Source organism: Homo sapiens, chromosome 11 (genome assembly GCF_000001405.40).
Source record: "Homo sapiens chromosome 11, GRCh38.p14 Primary Assembly".
NCBI classification, from domain to species: Eukaryota; Metazoa; Chordata; class Mammalia; order Primates; family Hominidae; genus Homo; species Homo sapiens.
The window spans coordinates 15,941,446-15,959,537 of record NC_000011.10 but is presented as its reverse complement, the minus strand read 5'-3'; the positions used below and the strand labels follow the sequence as shown (position 1 = coordinate 15,959,537).

The following is an 18,092-nucleotide window of genomic DNA, read 5'->3' as shown; positions in this document are numbered from 1 at the left end:
CCTGTGCTGTAGCATTACACGGACCTGATTGACACTTGAGTTAGAATATATTTAATTGCGAAAAGTACTCTTATGTTCTATATTTGGATAAAAGTCCATATGAAATCACTTAAGTGCATTTATTGTACATGTTAAATAAATTAATTCACTTAGAAAAGGTACTTGTTTATAAATATTGTAAATAACAATACTTGCTAAATATATAGGTTTGAGCCACTGGAGAAATGAGAACTAAATTCCCAAGCATCCATCTCTCCTTAGGTCTGGGGCTGGGGCACTTCTGCTTCTCCACCTGCAGAGGTAACTGGGACCCTCCACAGATGCCAGGAAGGCAGGTAGTGGACATGCTGCTGTATTGTTGGACAAGCACACTAGCCCTGGACAGAGCTGTGGAAAACACAAGTGGTTCTGGACCTTAAACTGGGTGAGATAAGACATACCAAGGGATAATGGCTATAAACACGGCCCAAGAAACTGGATCATTTTTCAGGCTGTTGAATTTCAAATGCCTGCCAAACAAAGTGTAATATCTGGGACTCTCTTTTTGCAATTCTACTGCAAGAGGTGGCATAAGTCCAATTAATTTAAACAAGAAAATCAGAACAATGAGGACCAGAAGAGTTAAAATGTCCAATCAAAACTTGGAATTAAAGTTAATTTCACAAATTTTAATGATAGTAGGAGGAAATTAAATTTAACCCTATATTTCAGTCAATGCCACAATAATGATAGACTAAAGACGATTGGATGTTGATTAATTTCTCTACTGCAGTCCTAGGATTTAGAATACTCAGGTGAATTACATTCATTTTTCTGATTGGCTGTCTGGGGATGGGTAATTCAGAGTTGAAGACACCTGGGAAGCCTCTCTTCCAAATAAAACAAAATAAAACCACACAAAGCATTGGTGAAGTCAATTGCTGCATTATTTACTTTATTGGTTATAAATGACTGAAACCCAATTTAAATGGCTTATGCAGCTAAGAGGGACTTAGTGGCTTACATAACTGAAAAAGTGCAAGGATAGCATGGCTTCAGGCCTGGCTGAGTGCAGGTGTTCAAGGCTGAGTTTCTGTCTCTTCTCTGCCCTGGTTGGCTTTGCTCCTAGGTTGTCTCTATCCATGAGACATCCCTCTGCAGATCCAGACTGCAGCTTTCAATTCAACAGAAAGAACTTCTCTTACAAGTTTCCTACAAACATATCTGAATTGAGTCTTCTTATCCTGGCTTGGATCACATGATCATTGCTGAACAAATCACTGTAGCCCAGGAAATGCAATAAGATCAATGCCCTTACCAACCACCATCAAATGACATAGGCTGAGTAGATAAAGGTTAATTGCCCTAAAGGAAAATCAGTCCTCCAGAAGGAGGAGAAATGGGTGCTGGGCAGCACGTTTCTGAAGTCCTGCATGGAATAGGCTTTATGTAAAATCAGTTGGAAAGCCAGGCAGAAGAGATGCTGATCACAGCCCAAGTGACCCTGTGGCCATGTGGAGACTCCTGCATCATTGCTAGCCTGGTTCTAGCTCTGTTTAATCTTTAGATCTTTAGTGGACTAGAACTAACCTTCAACTGCTGGTTCATGGCAATTTTCACATGGCATTGTCATTCTTCAACGTGTCTACTTTCCCACTAGAGAGTGGACAAATCCTGAGGTCAAAGTCTTGTCTTTCCCACTTTGGCACCAGCAGATGGCTGGTACAAACCAGATGCTCACTGAATCTGTGTTTAATAGACGGATGATTCTAGGGCCTTTGCTGCTATGACTGAGACTAAAATTCTCAGATTAGACCTTGACTTTTCTTGCATGAAAAGAATACCCTTCTAGAGCTTCAGCAGCATCGTGACCTTAGGCTTTCTCTTCCTCCTCTTCCTCTTCCTCCCTTTTCATTTTTCTTGTTTACTATTACATAGCTGTGAATCCTAGGGAGGGCCCATCCCCTCTGTCTCACCTATCAGTCACTCAGAGAACATGAGTTCCCCATGAGGGACGCCAAAAAAGCCACAACATCTTAAAGCAGGGGACAGCAAACTACGGTCCAAGAATCCACTCCACCCCAGCACCCACTTTTTAAATAAAGTTTTATTGGAACACAGCTACAAATGCATTGTCTACTACTGCTTTTGCACCACAATGGCAGAGTGGAGTGGCTGTGACAGGAGCTGTATAACACACTGATATGGTTTGTCTCTTTGTCCCCTCTCAGATCTCATGTTGAATTATAATCCCCAATGTTGGAGGAGGGACCTGGTGGGAGGTGATTTGATCATGGGGGTGGATTTCCCCTTTGCTGTTCTCATGATAGTGAGTTCGTTCTCATGAGATCTGGCTGTTTGAAAGTGTGTAGCACTTCTCCCTTCATGCTCTGTCTCTCCCCTGCCACCATGTGAAGACATGCTTGCTTCCCCTTCACCCTTCCACCATGATTGTAAGTTTACTGAGGCCTCCCCAGCCATGCCCCCTGTACAGCCTGTGGAACTATAAGTCAATTAAACCTCTTTTCTTTATAAATTACCCAGTCTCAGGTAGTTCTTTATAGCAGTGTGAGAATGGACTAATACACCCACAAAGCCTAAGATAATTACTAGCAGGCCCTTTATTTAAAAAGTTCAGAAACTTTTTAAATAAAGTTTATTTAAAAACTTTATTAAAGTTGTGCCCTCGAGGGCTGGGCACAACACATCTCTTGTATGTGTGTCATGGGCCACCACAGGTTTCAGGTGTGTCCCTGGTTGGGGAGAGGGTGGTGGGGGTGGGCTGAATTGCTCCTGATCTTTGAGCAGTTGCTAGTGCTCATGAAAACTGAGATTATTGAGTGAACAAGGAGATTCTGGGACAGGCCAGGTATGGAAACAAGCTGCCCAAACTCCATAATACATGGGATGAGGAAGAGCAAATCCTGAGGTACCTTAGAAAGTCTCACAGCCCACTTTAATTCTGGGTCCGCCTATTGAGAAGCCTTGGATTAAAGCAGAAGTTCTCAAGCGTGACTGCATTTTGAAATCACCTGGGATGCTTTAAATTCTTTAAATCCTGTGGAGCTTTAAATACTTGAAATCTCTAAAAAGTATGATTTAATTGGTCTGGGATCTGACACAGGCTTTGGGATTTTAAAAAGAACCCTACTCTCCAGGTGATTCAAGTGGCAGTTAAAATTGAGAACCATAGGGCCAGTGGCTAGCGGATCTGGGAGATAAGAAGGTGGTGCCAATCTGGAGGAAGCAGGCAAGAATGAAAACGATGCCGGTTTCAGACTTTGGCAAACTGGGAATTCTGACTCCACACCTAAGCTGCTGTGTGTTGGTCAGCTCATCATGTAACCACTCTGAGCCTCATCTTCAGTATCTGTAAAATAGAAATAAGAATACTTCCCTCACAGTGTTGTTATGAGGATTATGTGAAATTAGCTATTTATTTGTTTATTCTAGAAAACTAACTGAGATGCCTACTATATGTCTGACATTGTTCAAAGCCCTGGATAATACATCTGTGAAGAAAACAGACCAAGGTGCTTGCTGTCCTGGAGCTGACACCATGGTGGGAAAGCCAGACACTAAATAAAGGGATAACATAATTTCAGAGAATAAGGAATGTCATGAAAAAAGGCAATGCAGAATGGTGGCATGAGAGGGACTGGGATGGGGCTATCTTGAAAGGATGACCATGGAATTTTCTCCGAGGAAGTGACATTTGGGCAACAGTCTGAATGATGAGAAAGATCCAGTCATGCAAAAAGAATTCCGGGCTGAAGCAGCAGCACATTTAACAAACTTCATGATGGGAGAGGAGGGTAGAGATTCCTATTCCAGGAACAGAAGAAGTACCAGTGTCCTTGGAGCACAGGGCATTGGGAGAGCCAGATTTAGTAGAACACTTGTAGGCCTTGCTAAAAAGTCTCACTCTTCTTCCCCCAACTGCAGTGGTAACCAATAAGATGATTTTAAGCAGGAGAGTGATATGGTCTGTTACAGGGATTTTTGAAAGACTCTGTGGTTGCTGGGAAGCAATAGATTCTAATGTACACATAACGAGTATAGTGAGTATTTTTTATTGTTTATTCAGAACATATTTACTAAGCATCAAAAATAGGCTAGGTAGTAGACAAAAGAAAACAGCTAATGCTATACAGAGTCTTGTGGAGTATTTTTATCATTTGTTTTTTACTTTTATCAAAACTACTCATGAACATGATTTTAAAAGTCAAATAGTTATACAGCACTTTTTGCAAAAAAAAGAGCAATCCCTCTATTTCTCCACTTACTATCTCCACTTCTTCATAAAAACACTTTCATGTCTTTTAGCTGGTTTCTAAGATATTTCCTGCCAACTGTCCCTCCCTATCTCCCGTACAATATCTTTAAATAAATGTCTTTTAAAGTTGCTTCCTAACTTTTGAGTTTTAAGAAATAATGACAGATTTCCTGCTATATACCCTCACTTTGCATACCTACTTTGTAATCATAGTTCACAGGTGAGGCATTATATTAGTCTGTTCTCATGCTGCTAATAAAGACATACCCAAGACTGGGTAATTTATAAAGGAAAGAGATTTAATTGACTCACAGTTCCACATTGCTGGGAGGTCTCACAGTCATGGCAGAAGGCAAAGGAGGAGCAAAGTCACATCTTGCATGGTGGCAGGCAAGAGAGAGCTTGTGCAGGGGAACTCCCATTTATAAAATCATCAGATCTTGTGAGATTTATTCTTTACCATGAGAACAGTATGGGGGAAACTGCCTCCATGATTCAGTTATCTCCACCTGGCCCTGCACTTTGCACATGGGGATTATTACAATTCAAGGTGAGATTTGGGTGGGGACACAGCCAAACCATATCAGGCATGTGGACTATTATAATTGTTTTCTCTTTTGTGCACAGGTTATTTTTCTTATAGTTCAAAATTTTATCTAGTTTCTTTATGAAGTTGTCCATGCATTAATCACAAATGTGACTCTTCCATTTGTGTAAATATGTTCTCAATACATTCAAACGCATTAGTCATTGATCAATTTTATCTTCCTGAAAAATTATTTTCTGCTCCAAAATAGACTTGTTGCCCGATAGGCCTAGTGCAAAACTTTGGTCTTGGGATTTTCCTTCTTTATGGCACTTCAGATTTCTCTTGTGTTAGGTACCTTGTTTCCTAGATCCTGTGTCTTCTTTCACTATCTACTCTCTTGTTTTGCCGGAGCAGTTCCAGATGCTTATTGAGAAAGGGTGCATGAAAGGTACGTTTTTTGAGACTTAATCTGTCTAAAATGTCTTATTCTAATCTCACACTTTGTTAATATTTTGGCTCAGAGAATTCTAGGTTAGAAATTATATTTCATTGATAGAGTTTGGATATTTGTCCCTGCCCAAATCTCATGTTGAAATGTAATCCCCAGTGTTGGAGGTGGGGCCTGGGAGGAGGTGTTTGGATCATGGTGATGGATCCCTCATGAGTGGCTTGGACCGTTCCCTTGGTGATAAGTGAGCTCTCACTCTGAGTTCACACAAGATTTGGTTGTTTAAAGGTGTGTGGCACTTCTTCCCCTGATGTCTCTCACTTGCTCCTGCTTTTGCCATGTGTGGTGTCTGCTCCCACTTCACCTTCTGCAGTGAGTAAAACCTCCCTGAGGCTTCCCTAGAAGCCACGCAGATGCTGGTGCCATACTTCCTATACAGCCTGCAGAACCATGAGCCAATTAAACCTCTTTTCTTTGCAAATTACCCAGTATCACGTATGTCTTTACAGCAATGCAAGAGTGACCTAGCACATACACTAAAATTTTGAGAGTGTTGCTTTATTGTTTTCTAGCTTACAGTGTAGCTAATGAAATGTATGATGCCATTCTGATTCTTGTTCCTTGGTTTGCAATATTTCTCTCTCTGTCTCTGTCTCTCTCTCTCTCTCTCTCTTTCTCTCTCATAACTCGTAGAGTCTTGTTGCCTCCAGTGTATTAAAATTTCATAATGATGTGTCTTGGTGTGTATATGTTTACACATTGTGCTGTGCTAGGTATCTCTATATTGTTCTCAGAAACATATAATATTCAGATGTTAAACTTGCTGGATCTAGTCCTTTTAATTTAATTTTCCATTCTTTTTATTTAAAAGTTTCTGCTCTGTGTTTTGGAAAAATATTCTCAACTTTACCTTCCAAATGCCAATTGGGTTTTTCATTTCTGTGTCATATTTTTAATTTATAAGTGTTCTTCTTTATTCTCTGAGAATTTCCTCTCTTATAGTGTACTGAAAATATTAATGTCAGTCCATTTTTTTTCTTTTCCTTACGTGATCCCCATTTCCTCCTACTTGCTTCATTCATTCATTCAACTAATATTTTTTGAATGCTTATCATATTCCAGGCATCTAGAAACTTGGGATAACTCAGGAAACAAAACAAAGATCCCCAATCTTGTACAGATTACATTTTGGTGATTATTTTCCCATCTCTTTTTATATCAGAAACTTCCCTAATGGGTCTTGTGAAGCTTGGCTCATTCATTCATTCATTTGCTTCATTCATTCATTCAACTAATATTTTTTGAATGCTTATCATATTCCAGGCAACTAGAAACTTGGGCTAACTCAGGAAACAAAACGAAGATCTCCAACCTTGTACAGATTACATTTTGGTTGATTATTTTCCCATCTCTTTTTATATCAGAAACTTCCCTAATGGGTCTTGTGAACCTTGGCTCCCTGCTCATATTTAAGAGAATTGTACACAAAAAATCAAATGAGAAGTTTTATGTGTGAGGGAGGTATTTGTTATTTTAAAATATGTATTGTGAGTGACAAGGCTGGGGTGTTTCCTTGGAGAACTTCTGATATCAGCTTCTTTGGGTCTTCTATAAGATTTATCTGGAAAAGACCTTCCAGTCTCTGCCTGGTAGGTCTAAGCCTGACTGCCACTTTTCTGGGGGTTGAGTAGGAAAACATTCCCTATATTAATTTCCATTTAATCCCCCCATTTTCAGTGGCTAGTGTCTAGAGATTCTGTTTTACCCTTGGAGACACTATGTCTCCAATATTCTGCTTGGCAGTCACAGCCTCGGTGCTGAGTTGGGGAAAGAATCCATCACCTTCTTAAACAAACGTTCAATCAATTCTTTTGTTTTAACCTCACCGTTACTTTCCTTCCAGGGGCATGAGTGGCAGTTCCTGAGCCTTTAGACTCGAAGGCTTAGAGATCTGCAGTGTAAGTCATTTTGCTCTGCGCCTCCCTGGTGCTGGCTTTGGCTTCGGCTTTCTTGGGCTGCTAAATCAGTTACATTTCACAGTCTGCTTTCCACCACCTGAAATTCTAGTGCTGAGGTCCCTTCTACTGTTCTCTCTGTCATCTGGGTTTATGCCTTTGAAATGTCCCTTTACTAATATTTTACTAATGTTTCAGGAGGAAGCAGAGCTGAAATGTATATATTCCATCTGATATTTTTAGCTGTCCTCTGATTCCTTAGAGGATTTTTTTAGAGGGTGAAGAACTTAAAATTCCTTTGTACTTACTGTGGGCTAGAAACAGAGCTAAGCATTTTTTATCTACACTATTGAACTTAATCCCCACAATAATGAACTTCCGGAAATAGAAAAAATGAAGGCTTAGAGATATTAATTTTATGATGATCAACTTAATTCAATTTAGAAATAATTGATTAAACAACTGTTCTGTGCCTCAAACTGTGCAAGATGCAGAGGATGAACATATTAATATAAACATTCAGTCATCTGAACCTGAACCTTGGCCATCCTAGACTCTTCCACCATCCTCATCATATTCTACTGCTTTTCTCTCCTCAGTATTTCTCGGCTGTGCCCTCCTCTGTTTCCTGGAGAGACCTGCCTTGGTTAAGGGCTTTAATCTTTTTCCAGAACTTGAAGTAATACACTACCTGGACTTCATACCTCCAAGTCCACTACCCCATCTGCAACCAAGATGGTCTTTCTAAACTGTCAGTCTGATCACACCACTCTTTTGTTTAAAACGTAAGTGCGGTGGACATTACTACTGCACACCAGCATCTGGCTGAGCAGCCCAGCAGTAATCTGCACACAGGGAAGTACCTAATTTTTCTTCAAGTCTTTGGCACTTAGCTCAGGGCCTACCATCCTAGTGAGCATCCACAAATGTTTATGGAACTGAACTAAATATAATCATCTAAGCCATCCCAAGTTTACATTCTACCACTTAGGTGGAATTGAAATCCACCATAATTCCAACCCCACTGTGAATGATCCCATGCTTCCAGATGGCTTCCCTCTTGAGTCCAATGGCAGCATCCATTGCTTTGCAGCCTCCCCTCTCCTCACTGTTTGGGTTCCTCCTTGAGGGAGGTTCTTCCCTCTTCCCTCCTGGTCTCCCTCTGCTCACATCCTTGGTCTTCTCCTTCTCCATTGCTAGAGAAGAGGCAAAGCACCTGGCCTGGCATTTTTTTCAAATACCAGAAGGGTGGGAAGGGAAGGAGCAACAGCCCCTTCCGCTTAGCAAAAGCAGGACATCTTGGGGTGGCCTTGGAGGCCCAGCTCAGTCTTACATTCTGAATCTTCCAGAGTTGTTCAGTGCATTAACTTCCACCAGGGAAACAGTTGATTAGACTGTTGGGAGAGGGAGAAGGGGAATGGTAGAAAAAAATTTATTTGGTTTTTGCATTACTCTTATAGTATTAGGTGGGAATTTCCAAGAAATTATGTGGCAGTGACGTTATAACTTTCACACGATGGCTGGAAGCAACATTATAAAAATATTGCCTAACACAACTCCATATGGACATATGAAATTTCATTCCATTTTATACATGTAATTAAGTGGCCCACATAATGAAGTACTGTGAGTGCAAAAAGGGAGATGCCTTATGTAGGTGAAAGATAGCTGGGCAGGAACAAGACTGGTTTAAAAGTAGAATAATCATAAAGGGTGGATGAAAATTATTGCACATTATTCTCTGATGGATTTTTTCCCTTAAAGCTAGTTTTCATGTTGTAAGCAAGACAAATACATTTAATATCCTCCTGCTAAAATACTCTCCCACTGTGTTTACTCGAGGTAGTGAGCAGAAGTGCTGAGCTTGGAATCAGATACAGCCAGGTTCAAATACCAGATTACCACTTACTAGCAGAGTGACCGAAGGTAGGTGGCTAAACCAGTAGTAATCCCCAAACCAGCAGCAGCATTTGGGAGCTTGTTAGAATTCAGATTCAAGGGTTCCAACTCAGACCCACTGAATCTGAGGAAGGGGCCTGGGAATCTGTGTTTTTACAAGCCCTCCTGGTGATTCTGGTGTTCACAAAATAATGAAAACCACTCACTCAAATTATCAGAGCCTTAATTTCCTTCCCTGTAAATGACTCCTTTGTGGCAGAAAACTCAACCTCAAGTAACTTCAAAGAACAGGAACTAACTTAATGGTACACATATCCAAAACCCGGAAGTAGAACTACCTTCCAGTGGGGATTGATCCAGCATCTCACACAATGTCACCCAGGATTCCCTTGTTTTGAGTTCCCACCATCCTGGCATAATGAGAGCTGAAAGGAGAAATTCAACTGAATTTAAAGCTATAATTCTTGTGTACACGAGCTTTAGAACTAATATTCATGTATTTACATATTTATTGAGCAGCTAATCTATACCAAACATTGTATGGGTGTTGAGATATGATGTTAGGCTAATATGGACTCCACAAATAACCACTTGCTTGTGATTCCCCTACCCACTGTGCTATGTCTTGCCTCTTGACTTTGCAATGCGCTGTTCATTTTTTTCTGAATTGCCCTTCTTTGCCAGGACCATCAAGTAACTCCTATATATCATTCAGAAACTACTTGGACATGGGCTATTTTCTGAAGCTTTCTCCAGCTCCCCTGACATTGAAAATCTCAGTGCATTTGTGCTCCCAAGGCCTCAGTCATGTACTCTTGCCTCTGCCTGGGGTCTGTCAGGTCATTATATGTTTATATAATCTGTGTTCCACCCTAGACAGTGAGTTCCTCAAAGGAACATCATCACTTAAAAACCTCTAGCACCTGTGAAAAGGCATGACACAATGCGGATGGTCGACAAATCATACTGAACTAAACTGACCCTTCTCAGAATATGGGCATATGTGAAAGGCCAATCCCAAGTTTCATGCCATGCAAGACACAGTGGAGGACATGACTATTTTCCCCTCGCTGGCCTACAGCTTCCATGGAGCTCACAAAAGTTCTGTATCTGCTTGAAGAGTCTCAATGATTGCCTAGACTAGGGCAATGCTGCCCAGTAGAACTTTCTACATTGATGAAAATACCTGTGTTGATAGCCTCTAGCCACATGTGGCTATTGAGCACTTGAAATGTGACCTATAAGATTGAGAAACTGAATTTTTTATTTTACTTAATTTCACTTTATTTAAATAGCCACATGAGGCTAGTGGCTACCACATTGGACATTGCAGAACTCAAGGATGACTAATAACCTGGAGAAAAGAAGAGTGGAGAATTTACTCAGGAAGAAGTAACATAGATGAATGCATGTTTCAGAAAGGTCAAACAACCCTTGCTACAACCTCCAGAGCACGCTCAATGCTACCTGCCCCCTAATTCTATCCTTGTATCCCTGTGATGGCCCAATTTTCAATATCAAGGCAGATGGAGCAGGTGCCAACAGCTCTTTGAAAGCTGGTTTCTACTCATTAATCCCAAAGACATGCTATGGGGCTGGATTGGAATACGATGAATTAAACAAGGAGATGTTCATATTTCTAACCTTTCCTTTAAGAATCTGTTCCCCCATTCTATGAAAATTCAGTGGGGCCCATGAATTACAAAGGCTCCAAAATATTTTTCTTGGATGGTATTCCTCTTGTACAGGCTCTGTCGGAACACGGGAGTCCACAGGAGCAGGTATATCAGGAGCTCAGTGAGATATGAAGGGAACACCAGGCTTCTGGGGGGATGAGTGCATAAGAAACTGCCCAGCCTGAATCTCTTGCTGGAACTTTCTAAAACAGGTGAATAGAGAAAGCAAAAAGAAACCTTTGGGAAGAACTTTTCCCACCAAGGCCTCCCTGCCATATGTATAGGCAGTGGCCAGTGTCTGAGTGCCCCCATCGTCCATGGGGAGAGCCTGATCTGTCTGGACTGGGTTCCCAGATGCGGCTCACCTAAAGGCCAAGAGGTTGGGCAAAGTGGGAAGGTGGACAGGTAAGCTGGGGGTTGAGCAGCCAGTAAAGGCTGATGAATCAGAAAGTAAACTGACGGAGGCCTAGGTGGGGGAGGGTGGGACTGAAGGTCAGTAGAGCCTGGAGTCAGGGATCTGGGAAGCAAGCATGAGTGAGCCAAGGCAAGCAATAGGCATGCGTGTGGGGTGAGCTGGTGATGGCAGGAGTCCTGAGTAAACAAGGTGGATGAATATCGACTCCAATAGGCCATTGATTGTAATAGCGGCTTTTGCGGAAGGAGAGTAAAAATAAAAATAAAATAACAATGAATGTACACATTAACTATGAGAAGCATACAGTATTTGAAATACGAAAATGTGTAGTGATTCTCTACTAATAGATCAAAGTTCTACTGGTTTTGTGCCATATGAATACTCCAGTCATTGGTAGCCCAGTGTAGACTGCTATTGAAAAGGCTTATATCTGGGTTCAGAAGGGAAGGATGCTTGATTGGTTAGAACTGTCTGCCAATGGTGTGGGAGGGAGTAGCTGCAATGTGACTGTTGTATATTTGCCATCTGTGACTAGGGAAAATGTTTTCAGTAAACTTTTATGACTTGGCATGGGAAATGTAGCAGGACAGGTTGACTTGATTTTAAAACTGGCACTAGGGAAACTAACAACGGATAGACACTTTGTTACTGTAAAGGTGGGGTAAAATTACTTTATACAAACATAGTTGCCATGCTTGGAGGGTAGAGCTAAGCGATTGAAAAGCTCTTTTAACCCAAAGTAAGTAGAACGGAGGAAATAATAAAAAGTGGAAATCAATGAAATAGAAAATGGACAAGCAATAGAGAAAAATCCATGAAACCAAAAACTGGCTCTTTGAAAAGATCAATAAAATTAAGAAACCTATAACAAGATTGAACAAAAAAAGGAGAAGATAATGCAAAAGTTGCAAATATCAAGAGTGAAGGAAGGGAAAGAGAATAAATAAATACTATAAGTCTCTTTGACTTTTGATCAATAAATTTGAAAACTTAGATGAAGAGGACAAAGTTTTAATTAAAAAAATTACCAAACTGACTCAATAAGGATAGAAAATATAAATAGTTTTATATATTTTTAATAAGTTGATTTTGTAATTAAAAGCATTCCTACAAAGAAAATTCTAGATCCAGAGATGTTATTGGTAAATCCCCCAAAATATTTTTTAAAAATCACCCTGATGCTAAAATCAGACAAAACAAAGAAAAACATCACAAAGAAATAAAAATTACAGACCAACATTCTCCATGAATATAAATACAAAGTGATTAACATAATAATAGCAAATCAAATTCAACAATATATAAAAAGAAAAATACATCATAACCTAGAAAGGTTTCTTCTAGGAATGCAAGGTTGGCTTAATATTTTAAAAGCAATCAATATAATTCACCATATTGACACAACAAATGAGAAAAATCACAGGACTATCTCAATTGATGCTGAAAAAACATTTGAAAAAATTTGATTCTATTCATGTTAAAAACTCTTAGCAAACTAGGAATAGGAGGGAACTTCCTTAACCTGATAAAGGTAATCTATGCAAAACCTATAGCTAATGGTAACTTATGGAGCTAAGATGGCAAGGGAAGAACATGCTGAGAAAGTGGTAGTTGAGCTAATACCTGATTGACAAGACAGAGCCATCCAGGGACAAAGCTGAGGGAAAATGTCCATACTACAATGTAGTGGACTACATGTTTGCACAAACCTTTTCCTGGTTGCAGGTGGTGAATGATTGAAAGAGGGAAGACTACTTAAGATGCACAACATTAGCCTGGTTGGAAAGGAGAAAGTGGCTGAGCTCCAAGGAGGGAGCTCAAGAGTTCAGAATTCCTGTGATAGAATAACAAAACCTCACAGTTGATAAACCTTACAGATTATTAATAATATCACTTCCATGATTCACATGACAGAACAGATTATGAGACCTATTACACAGCTGAGAAAAAGAGGTGACATGACTTGACTTGTTCAAGGTCACTAGCTCATAAGTAGATTTAAACCCAGGCTTGTCTAACTCTGAAGGTCATGCTGCCTCTTGGTGATTAGAAAATGATTAGTTCCTGTCATTAAAAAAATGCAATGTGTTGATCAATCAGTCACTTTAATTTGGAAAGGCAGAAAGACGGAGAATGTGCTTCTTGTTGCTATCAACAGCAACAGGCAGACAGACATGGAACATCCTCTGGTCTCCCTGGAGACTGGAGCTTTCTGTCTTACTGATATTTATAAGCTGCATGACCAGCAGCTCTCAGAGCCTCAGTATGCTTATACCTAAAAATGGGATTAATAGCTCCATTTCTGCCCACTTGATATAGTGCTCGGATGAGACATATATTTTTTAATGAAAAACTGTATGAAAACATGTGGTGTTTCCTATGAGATCTGAGCTGCAAGATCCTGCTGCCTGAGCCAGACCACCCTGTTGGAGGGGAGGTGCTCCACTGGCCAGGGCACTCCTGAAGGCCAAGGCCTGCTGGGTCCTTAGTGCCAGAACATTGCTGCCTGGCACACAGTGGGTGCTCTCTCTGTGTGTGATGCTTGAAGGGAAGAATGGGTTCCTGGTGCTCAGAGAGGTAGAGCTGGGGCCTTATCTGCTGGACCCCTGAGACTGCAAAGGACACAGTTTCTCTTAAGGTAATCTATGCTGCTAAGGGACTAGCATCTTAATATTTACCTAGGCTTGCTTCTCTGACAATAGGATTAACTTCTTCTCTTTATGGGTTTTTTAAAACCAAAACAAACAAAACAACAACAACCCAATTGTAACCACATGTGGTCAACCCAAGAGAGTTATGGATTGTTATCTGAAAGAACATCTATTATGGCAGGAACAGTCTAACCACCAGGGGCAAATGAGGTCTCAGCTCCAGGCTTTCTGGGCTCCCAGAGTCTCCCCAAAATACCCCATGTGCCCTTCAGCATCAGGCTGCTGGATGCCACCCAGAGTGAGAAACCAGGTGCCATCCCTCCATGGGTGGAGGGACATGATGTCCTCACTGGATCTTCTCTAATCAATAAACTGATCATAACAACACTCAAAGCTCCCTCTCAGATTTCAAACCCTTCCAATAGTTTCCCATTTATCTTCAGGTAAAAGCTCACACCCTGAAGATCCCTGTTGACTGCTCGAAGCTCATTTTTTCCTATATCCCTCCTTACCCTCTACACTCAGAAACACGAATCTTCTCAGTATCTCCATGTCTATGCATGTGCTGTTCCTTCTCAGTGGAGCCCTCTTCCCCAAATCTACATCTGGTTCGTTCTTAACTGATCTTCATAGACCTGATCATTACTTTCTCGGGGAAGCCTTCCCTGCCCTGCTCAACACTTGTTATACACTCTGCTGGCACCATGAATCTCTCCTCCATAACACTCAGCAATGTTGTAATTTTACATTTGTTTTTGCAATTATTTCATTAATGTCTGACTCCTTTATTCAGCATGAACTCTCTGAGATTAGAGATCTTGTCTTTCCTTCCTCGTTTTTGTCTACTACAGTCTTCCTAGCACTTTGCTCAGGAAAGCACAAATGAATGAATTCATAGTCCCCAGTGTTGGCAACTTTAGCTGGATTGAGTCAAATGCATCTTTCTGCAGAACTGAATGGGTCTCACCACTCACACATTGGTCAGTCCAAGCATGCAATAGCAGCAAGGGAGAAGGGCTGCAGCTAGCCATGGGCTGGACTTCAGCAGAAGAGAAGACTGGGATTGGCTGCCCTTTGGCAAGCTTGGCTGCCATTCAGCTAACCTGGAAGGAAGTAAGAAGTTAATTACTTTAGAAGCCCACAGAGCAGAATATTTTAGGGCAGTGGTTAAGCCAGCTCTAGCATCCCCAGGAATCACCTGGGAAGCATTTAAAATGCATATTCCCAGGCTACTGTCTGAGTGAGTTTAATCAAGAAATCATATTTAAAAACTCTCTCAGGTTATTCCAATGTATCATACTTGGAGAGACTCTGGTCTAAGTAAATAAAACACCCTTTACTTTGTGTGTGTGTGTTTTGAGATTCCATCCCAATATCTCTGACTGAGAACCCTTTCCTGATTACAAAGGTTCTTTACTAGGAAGAAAGGGAGATGCCTCAGAAAGGCAAATGTGGGCCTGCATGTGTGCGTGTGTGTGCATGTGTGTGCGTGTGTGTGTGTGTGTGTTTGCGTGTGTGCAGGTGTGTGAGCATGTTTGTGCTTGTGCATGAGTGTACTGGGTGTTTCAAATAGGGGCTATTTTTGATTTTTCAAAATACTACATTAAAACATCATCTTGATTACTGAGATTTTGGCACTCCCTTCAATTTTGCAGCCAAAGTAAGTGCTGCACCTGCCTCACCCTAGGCAGGGCCCTTAGGGAATGTACACATAAAGTATGTGTAAAGTACCCAGCACAGTAGGAGACTCAGGGCAGACCTCAGAAAAATCCTGCTCCCAAGGTCACTGCTGTAATCTCAGTAGGGGTAGGGAGCAGTGTAGTAGAAGCCCCCAGACAGGAGTCCCACCTCTGCCTAGGGGATCAGGAGATGATATTGGAGCTGGGTTTGGAAAAGAGTAGGAGTTTGTTAGTCAGAGAAGGCGGAAGGGTCTTCTAGAAAAACAGCAAGATGTTCTGCACGGCTGGAGCCAGGCTGCACGGAGGGGCCTGTGAGGAGCACAGTGGTAAAGTCTGATCCAGGTGGGTCTGGAAAACACACCATGAGCCTGCAGCTTTGTCCAGCAGGTGGGGGCTGGGCCAGAGGCATCTGCACAAATATTCACCATCCTCTGCAGAGCACAGGGCCTTCGCCAAGGTTTCCTACAGCAAACGATGGAAATCAGAACCTCCTGAGGGAGGGTTAAGTGAGATAGGGACAGTGAAATTTCGAATGTGTCAGGGCCATGCCTGTGTGTCATTGTACTATAAGATCTCCTCACAATCTGTGATTATTCGCTCCTCCTGCCTGATGTTGAGGTGGCCTCTCCACGCAAGTTCATATCAGATGGGGGAGCCATTGTAATGTCCCTGATAAAGAAACTTCACCCAGCTGAGAGTGGGAGAAGACACTCACGGAGGCTGGCCCAGGACTGACGAGCGAGTTGTCCCCTCTTTCCTCTCTGTCACCAAGCAACCTCCCCAGCCCTCTCCCAGCGTTGTGACTGTCCTCAGCCTCTGCTCCCCTGCACCCCACACCACCAGGAGCTCCCTTACCATGAACCTGTTCTTGGTGCCCAGGCTTGCAGAAACAGCCAGACAAGGTAGCGTGAGAAAGGGGGAGGGAGGGACAGGGACACATTTCTTCAAGAGGGAGACATAACACGATGTATCAGCTGGAGTTGAAGCAGATCGTCACTGGTGTGGTGAGCAATTAGAGCAACCATGATGACCTCACTCAGGCATTCCTCCCATCCACCGGGTCCTTCACACTTCCACGTGTCACACTATCAGGCTTTTTGGGCCACTGGTTCATGTGGGCACCTGCAGAACTGAGTGGCTCTCACCGGGTGAACATGCCACACTTACTCAATGCCACCTACCCTTTTGTCGCCCACATTCAGGGGTGGCTAAATTCCATGACCGAGAAGATGGAAGCACAAGGGTGAGAGGAGGCAGGTAGCTAAGGAGGGGTCTTCATTTTCTCAGGGATTCCTTTTCCTTTCTCAGGGAAGTTCTGTCAACTTTTTTTGGTTAGAGCCACCATCTTGTTTTTCCTTCTTCCTTTTGCTTCTTCCTCTTTAGTCATGGAATTGCTTTCTAGGGATACTTCATTCTTCTGAGGGTTCTTCAGCCCCTTCAGTTTCTTGCCCTGATTCCTCCACATCCCAGCCAGTACCATAGTCAGTGCTGGAACTAAGTGACATGCATCGCTCGAGAGCCTCCAAACCTCATTTGATTCTCACAGAGGGAGGGTCTGTTAGGAGTCCCTCACCAGGGGTGAGGAAACTGAGTGTGGAATAGGTGAACCGCCCTTACAAGCTCATACAGTAGAGATAACAGTTTTGATTTTGACTGCCTGGCACCCCAGTCCCCCTCTCCGTGCGGCCCTCCACCTTCCTTGGGGACTTGCTCTGTCACTGTCTAGCCCCTGGTCTCAGCGTTCTCCTCTGTGAAATGGGGAGTGATGACAATTGCATCCAGGGCCAGACAGGGGCCAGACCTGGTAAAATGCATTATTCCGTGTTTCAAAGATGTGTGCCTTAAGTATTTGTTTGGTGTTCATTTGGGGGAGGGTAGGCTAAGAGAAAGGCTAAGGTTTCCACTAGGCCAGGAGACTAGGGGCCTTGGCTGCTGCTCCAAGGGAGTATAGCGTCCAGGCCCCTCCCGTACGAGTCAAGGAGGTTTGGGAGGTTGGGGGAGGCCTCTTACTTCTGCTTCAGGGCTTTGGGTAGCAGGGTAATCTGTTTATACTTCTCCCTTTCTTTGGGGACCTGGATTGTATTTCTGATTTATTCTGATGATATTTTAGTGCCCTTTAAAGACAGGCGCCCTGGGCTGTGGCCTGGCTCACTCCCCCTGAGACTTGCTGGTTGTAAGGATAAGATAAGAAAATGCATGGAAAATGTAGGGCAATGCTGGCACATAGTAGGTGCTTCATAAAAAGTGGTAATGGAGACTGAGTTTCATTCCCTAGCCCAGGGCAGATGAGTTCAGCCCTTGCCCAGGCTCCCTGTGCTGAGGCCCCACACAGCCAGGCTGGCCTGCCCCCCACCGCGAGGAGACTTCGGATTTTCCAAACGGGAGACAAGGAGCCCCCGGGCCTACAGCGATCCTGCTTCCCGCCCAAAGGTGGATGGTTTGGCTGCTGAGTTCCCCGAAAATTGATTCCGCATGTTGCCGACATCAGCCCGAACGTTTGCTCAGCCGTGAGGGCCCTCCGGGGAGGCTGAAACCCACACCGCCCCACCGTCCGCCCCCGGCCGCAGGCTGCCAAGCCGCTGCCC

General features: G+C 42.7%; 1 annotated feature.

Moving 5' to 3' along the window:
- Window positions 10,941–11,090: a silencer, noted in NCBI's record as "fragment chr11:15969994-15970143 (GRCh37/hg19 assembly coordinates)". NCBI's record gives its function as "represses an EF-1alpha promoter that drives an FKBP-Casp9 reporter gene in an ReSE screen in HepG2 liver carcinoma cells {active_cell/tissue: HepG2}" and the evidence as "EXISTENCE:reporter gene assay evidence [ECO:0000049][PMID:32094911]".